The 7,567-nt window shown below is 40.5% G+C and overlaps 1 pseudogene, besides 1 other annotated feature; it reads left to right on the forward strand.

Moving 5' to 3' along the window:
• CLCP2 (Charcot-Leyden crystal protein pseudogene 2) lies at window positions 52-658 on the forward strand (annotated as a pseudogene).
• Window positions 6,556-6,850: a silencer, noted in NCBI's record as "tiled region #14980; HepG2 Repressive non-DNase unmatched - State 3:PromF". NCBI's record gives its function as "represses a minimal TATA promoter and a strong SV40 promoter by Sharpr-MPRA in HepG2 cells {active_cell/tissue: HepG2}" and the evidence as "EXISTENCE:reporter gene assay evidence [ECO:0000049][PMID:27701403]".

A 7,567-nucleotide genomic window follows, 5' to 3' on the forward strand; every position in this document is an offset into this window, starting at 1 on the left:
GCCAAGATCGTGTCACTGCACTCCAGCCTGGGCAAAAGTGCAAGACTCCGTCTCAAAAAAAAAAGAATACTAAACACAATTCAGAAGAGCCACCCAGAGGGAGACAACAATGTCACAACTACTTGTGCCACACACACAGACTGTGCTCTTGTCTATTGGTTCTACTTGACATCAAAGGGAGGCTAGTTGTTTGTTTCATCAATGAACCACAGCTGCAGGTGGATTTCCACACCAGGATGAATGAAGACTCAGACATCACCTTCCATTTCCAAGTGTTCTTTGGCCGTTGTGTGGTCATGAACAGCGTGAGAATGGGGCCTGGAAGCCTGAGATGAAATCCAAAAATATGCCCTTTCAGAATGGCAAAGAATTTGACCTGAGCATCTTGGTGCTGGACAGTAAGTACCAGGTAATGGTCGATGGCCAATGCTTTTAGAGCTTTGACCATCGAATCCCGCCTGAGTCTGTGAAGATGGTGCAAGTGTGGAGAGATGTCTCCCTGACCAAAGTGAGTGCCTGCAATTGAGGGTGATAACCAGACTTCCTGTTGACAAAGGAATCCGTTTCTGTGTGACCATGGGATTCCCAGAGCCAGCTAACAGCATAATTCCTCCTCACTTCAACCCTTACTCTTGCTCATTAAAACTTCGCCAAACTTAAAACAAACAAAAAACACTGGATTTTAAAAACACATACGCCCATGCTTCTTCACAAGGGGAATATCTTATCTGTAAAATAAAGCCATATTCCCACTGGAAAGTCGGTGATCATTAAGAATTTCTAGATTGCTTAAATAACAGTACCTTGCATTTATGAAGTTCTTTATGTTTCTCAGGCAGAATATTGATAGCTGATAAAACTGATGAGAGTCCATTATATTACCCTCTCTTCCTTGAATGTTTAAAATTTCTAGTAATAATGCATTAAAAAGAAAATTCATCTCGGATGGGGATGTATTTTCCCAGTTGGTTTATCTATCAGTGGATGAGTTGAATACCTTTTACTAATAGAATAAGATAGTGTTGGACAATTCTACTCCAGTTTTTAATTTTATTAATATAACTACTGAGAAATCTTGCTCACACAGTAAAAAGGAAGAGAGGAGTTTTGTTAGGTTAACACCACTTAATTCTTTAATTTCTGGCCGGGCGTGATGGCTCATGCCTGTAATCCCAGCACTTTGGGAGGCTGAGGCAGGCTAATCACTTGAGGTCAGGAGTTCAACACCAGCCTGGTCAACATGGTGAAACCCTGTCTCTACTAAAAATACAAAAAGACTATCTGGGCATGGTGGTACACGCCTGTAATCCCAGCTCCTGGGAAGGCTGAGGCAGGAGAATCACTTAAACCGGGGAGACAGAGGTTGCAATGAGCCGAGATTGTGCCACTGCACACCTGCCTGGGTGACATAGTGAGACTCCATCTCAAAAAAAAATTGTTTTCTTTCAAGTTATATTGCAAAATGTTCAGTTATCTATAATCAGTATTACTTCTAATGGTCTACCATCTCATAATTGTTTCAATTTTATTGAAAGCTAACGATTGGGAATCACTTAACTTTTAAAAGGATTTATTATTCAATCACTAAAATCATCCAGTTTCTCTGTTTCTGAGAAGTAAATATAAAAGGTTTCCCAGGACTTACCAGCTAACTATTAATTACACCTGTTGCTTTTCCACTCTTGGAGAGAAAGAGCTCAATCTGACATATTCAGAAAGGTTTGGGGGATTAGCAGTGATTTCAGCACATCTTTGTCAGTGCAATATTTTTATAAAGTGTTCAATGCATATTTGCCAAAGCCTTGGATTGCAGATTTAATTCATCCAATTTCTGGAAAATGTAGTAAAGTCAAGATTAAAATTATATAGAGCAAATAGTCTTTCTCATTACCTAATTTAAATAATACAATATAATGTTTAGCTACATGTATGAGTTATTGGTGAGGCCAGCCGTGTGATAATGGGAGTTCTATTTCTTCAGTAAATATGTGTATGAATATGTAAAACTCTAGCATGGGGCTTTTGGGAATATTGAAAAGATTTTTTAAATTATAATTTTGTTTTACAACATGACCAAGTGTTTTACATGTATTTAAGAAAACATTAAAGTATATGCTGCTGAAAACTAATTGCATTTATCATTTAGTTTATAACTTTTCTAACTAATGGAAGGTGGAAATAAAATTTTTTTTTTGAGACAGGGTCTTACTCTGTTGCCCAGGCTGGAGTGCAGTGGCACAGTCTCGGCTCACTGCAACCTCCACCTCCCAGGTTCGAATGATCCTCCCGCCTCAGCCTCCTGAGCAGCTGGGACTACAGGCGTGCGCCACCACGCCTGGCTAAATTTTTTGTATTTTTAGTAGAGACGGGGTTTCCCCATGTTGGCCAGGCTGGTCTTGAACTCCTGACCTTAGGTGATAACACCCACCTTGGCCTCCCAAAGTGCTGGGATTAACAGGCGTGAGCCACTGTGCCTGGCCAGAAATAAAATATTTAATTGGATAAAGAATGACTGCAACTGGGAAACATTTGGTAGAAACAGGTTTTAACTATCTTAATGATTACTGCACACTTTATTAGGATGAAACCACATAAAAACTTACCCTTAGGTTTTATAGGATGTATTTTGGAAACAGCCCCATTAGCAAATTGCTTAAACTTTGATATATGTTCCTTGTTCATTCTGTGTCTGAGTCATGTTTATGGAGCTGGGGTCTTGCTGTGTTGCCCAGGCTGGAGGCCATTGACAATTTACGGGTGTGATCACAGTGCACTGCAGCCGCAAACTCCTGGCCTCAAGCAGTCCTCCCACCTCAGCCTCTCAAGTGCATGTTTTTGCCTTTCTGAAAATCATACTTTAAGCCCATCCCCTTACCTGTTTCCCCAAACTGTCTCTCAAATCTTTTATTCTTATTGGGTCCTGATACTCATCCTATGAAGTAAGTATTCTCTATTAATGGTCAGAGTTCTTGTTACTGTAATTAAATCAGTATAAAATAATGGCATCTAACATTGATTCTGTTCAGTGTGCTAGCACTAAGTGCTCTGAACACTTCATGCTGTCTTATGCCAAAACAAGCTTATAAGGTGGGTACTATCGTTCCACTGCATGCAAACATATGAGAAAGTAGCCTTGCCCAAGTTCACATTCAAGCATGTGCACGCGCACACAGTAAGTTACAGAGGCAAATTCTAACATAGGTTGGTCTGACTTCACAGCCAAAGCTCTCAGCGACTGTGCCTGCCATTCCCAGAACAGGAGAAAGTATGTTTTCAACCAGCATTAAAGCTGTAGGTCTCTAGTGTTGCCAGTGCCTTACCTCAGCTTTAGTGATGGCAGGTGGTAGAAGTCCTTGCTCGGAGAGGGAGCCTGGCTGCACACCTGGTACACAATGCGGGGCAGGAGAGACCATGGGCTCTCTCTGCAGTTCTGCAACCACAAGCAGTATCCAGGGCCAGGCTGGTTTCTATGCTCACCACTCCTGCTTTTTTTTTTCTTCAACCAGCAGAGCAGGTGACCATAGTTCTTGGGCAGCCTGCTTGAAACAAAGTGCCCTCTGCTGCTCTTTTCATGAAGAGTGTAGCAGGATTGATTGAGGCTGGCTTTGCACTTACACGGTAAACTGGCCATATGAGAACTTAGCTGCTCTGCCGGCCAGCACCAGGCTCCCAGTTGCCTTTCACTCGCTCACTGGCGCTCAACTAGCATTGATTGAGTGCCTGCAATGCAGCAGTCAGTGCCCATCTGCCACCCCTGGCAGCTGTGTGGACCTAGACTGCCCTTCAGCAAAGTCTGCTGCTCTGCCTGAGAGGAAAGGAAGAGCCCCATGCCCACCAGCAAAGGCTTCTGGGGCCTGGGCATCCTCTCCTCCCTCCAAAACTGGGGCTAGTGAATGGTTAAAAAAAAAAATTAAGAAAATATTAATGGACTTGATTCTAATTTTTATATTTGATTTTTATTTTTCAGTCCTATTTAAAAAAATGTCTAAAACTCGGAAATAAGGCAAAAAAGAGTGATTGCATGGCTGTGTCATGTCTGACAAGCTCCGATTATTTAACAGTTGACCCACATTTGTGCCCACACTGTGACATCACATGTTTCCTTACGGATTTTTGCCCAGTAGAGATGTGAGTGATTTCTATAACATGGCCTCAAAGGTGGCAGTTGTGCTTCCCTGTAGGATCCTAACCACTTTTGTTTCTAACTGGCCATTTGACTCCACTTTTTCTAGTGGCTGCACGTACTCAGCTTTATGAACCTTCTGAACTAGCTTCATCCTCCTCTGGATTCCCTCATGAATGAGTTAAATAAATCCTCTGAGATTGAGACCGTCCTGGCCAACATGGTGAAACCCTATCTCTACCAAAAATACAAAAATTAGCTGGGCGTGGTGGCAAGTGCCTGTAGTCCCAGCTACTCATGAGGCTGAGGCAGGAGAATCACTTGAACCCGGGAGGTGGAGGTTGCAGTGAGTAGAGATCGCACCACTGCACTCCAGCCTGCCGACAGAGCAAGACTCCGTCTCAAAAAAAAATACAAAATAAAATAAATCCTCTGATATGTGTTCACTTTATATTCGTGTGAGTCATGTGTTTAACTTTTGAGAACTATACTTTGACATTCCCCAAAGCCCAGCAACAGAGCTAGATACTCAGGAGGAATTCCATTTTATCATACTTCCCATTAAGTAACTTATTTTAGTTCCCATTATTTTGCATTATTATAAATTAAGTAGAAATAGCAGAATAATTTGTCCTTTTTTATTATAAAGTAGCTAAGTTGATTATATTAGATCTAAATTATAAGCTGGACTGCTTTTATTATTTCTCTTACAGGAAGCACTTAATAATTTATTTCTAATTTTTATTATGTTCCTTGTAATACATATTAATGCAGCAATTTGAATGGAAAAATTAAGTCTGACTTTCTGACAGAAAGCCAGTCTGATTTTGGCTGCTTCATTTGACAACATGATTCTGTGTAGGTTTTGAATATGTGCAGATACTCAGCACTGTTATTCTTTATACACAGAAGACAAATGACAAAGTCCAGTGCCATCTCAGCTAATGAGTTTGCAGCTCCTCAAAGGCTGTCAGGCTGCCACTTTCTACTGCAATTGTAGTTCACCTGCCTCTACCCATTCCCTGATTCAAGTCTGGTCCCTGGAACATAGTATAGGTTGAGAAAACATCAAAATAAACTGTTGAGAAGTATATGTTCAATAGATCCTTAAGTGAAATTTTGAAAGTCCATAAGGGTCTGGTTTTAGTACAGGATTTTATGAGAGTTATTTCTGCTTTCTTTGGTTACTTTAAAGTTTAGTGCAATATACTGGGAACCTTTCAAAAGGCCAAATTGGGAGTTTATTTGCATTATTCATCTTGAACTATTTAATATTCTATAACTACAATAGCTTTTTTAACATGATTTCAATTCAGAATAATAGCAGAGGGTGTTTTGGTTTTTGTTATTTCGTCACCAAGAGTTGCCTTCTGCTAGAGTTTTGTTCAGTGTTCAATTGGAATAGGTCTCTTGGGATCATCAACTCATTCTGACACTTCAGGAAAAAACAACTGAAGCAGCCATTCAAATTAGGTCCTGCAGCCACAACGAACCTGTTTCATATTAAGAGTCAGGATCTCAAAAAGTTCTCAATCAGTAAATCTTTGCTATTCAGAGAAAATAAAAGATCCTCTCATTTCTGCATTTAACATTTACAGTTTACAAACTGTTTTCATTGGCTCTTTTAAAAGCTTGTAACTAGGTGGATACTTTTTAAAGAAATCTATTAAATTTAATGAATCAATTTTGCTGCAAAAACAAAACTTAGAAAAATCCTAAAATATTTAATATTGATATTTGAATCCTAGAAATCAGAATCATTCCGGAAATTAACACAGGATCCTAAATTTTGCATGAAAGGGAGGTAGAGCCAGGCGCTGTGGCTCACGCCTGTAATCCCAGCACTTTGGGAGGCTGAGACGGGCGGATCACGAGGTCAGGAGATCGAGACCATCCTGGCTAACACGGTGAAACCCCGTCTCTACTAAAAAAATACAAAAAAATTAGCCGGGCGTGGTGGCGGGAGCCTGTAGTCCCAGCTACTCGGGAGACTGAGGCAGGAGAATGGCATGAACCCGGGAGGCGGAGCTTGCAGTAAGCCGAGATGGCGCCACTGCACTCTAGCCTGGGCGACAGAGCGAGACTCTGTCTCAAAAAAAAAAAAAAAAAAAAAAGAAAAGAAAAGAAAAGAAAAAAATGTAAACACAATATAGCAACTTTTGTGATACAGCAAAAGCAATGCTAAAGGGGGAGTTTATAGCTATAAATACATCAAAAACCAAGAAAATCTCAAATTAACAACCTAACTTTACAACTTAATGAACTATAAAAAGAAAAACTAAATCCAAAGCTGGCAAAAAGAAGGAAATAATAAAGATTAAAGCCAAGATAAATGAAATAGAAAATAGAAAACGATAGAGAAAATCAATGAAACCAAAAATTGGTTCTTTGAAAATGTCAAAGCATTATTCACAATATCTTGAATAGGGAAGCAAGCCAAGTGTCCATCAACAGGTGAGTGGATAAGCAAAATGTGGCATATCCATACAATGGGATAGTATTCAGTGTTAAAAAGGAAGGAAATTCCACAATGTGCTACAACATGGATGAACCTTGAGGATGTTCTGCTAAGTAAAATAAGTCAGTCACAAGACAAATACTGTATGATTCCACTCTTATGAGTAGTCAGACTCAGAGACACAGGAAGTAAGATGGTGACTGCCAGAAAGTAGAAGGTAGAGGGGAACCGAGAGTTAACATGTAATGCATAGTTTGTTTTTCAAGATGAAAGAGGTACAGAGATGGATGGTGGTGTTATGAATATACTTACCACCACTGAGCTGTACACGTAAAGATAGTTAAGACGGTAAATTCTATGGATTTTATTTTTATTTTTTTGAGACAGAGTCTCACTCTCTCCCCCAGGCTGGAGTGCAGTGGCGCGATCTCGCTGTAACCTCCGCCTCCCCGGTTCTATGGGATTCTCCTGCCTCAGCCTCCCTAGTAGCTGGGGTTACACGCGCCCGCCACCACGCCTGGCTAATATTGTATTTTTAGCAGAGACAAGGTTTCACCAGGTTGGACAGGCTGGTCTCGAACTCCTGACCTCAGATGATTCACCTGCCTAGGCCTCTCAAAGTGCTGGGATTACAAGCGTGAGCCACCGCGCCCGGCCATTCTATAGTTCATTTTCACCACAAAAACAAAAATGAAATTCACAACAAGCAAAACTTCAGAAGGGTACAAAGGTAGAGAGCAGTGTGAGCTAATTTTACAGTCTTTCAAAGCATACAGACTGATGGCATCAGCATTAGAGGTGCATGCATTTTAATTAGAATTGTGGTGGTAACATTCATAAAACTGAAAACAAAAAACGAAGAAGATAACTTCTGGGAATCGGGACTTTCAGTGGAGGCGGGGTGATGAGAAAAGGAATATTTACTGTCATCCAACAACTTTGTCTTGTACTTTTGTCATAGGTATTATGCCAGTAATATCCCTGAG

This window comes from Homo sapiens, chromosome 13 (genome assembly GCF_000001405.40).
Source record: "Homo sapiens chromosome 13, GRCh38.p14 Primary Assembly".
Classification (NCBI taxonomy): Eukaryota; Metazoa; Chordata; class Mammalia; order Primates; family Hominidae; genus Homo; species Homo sapiens.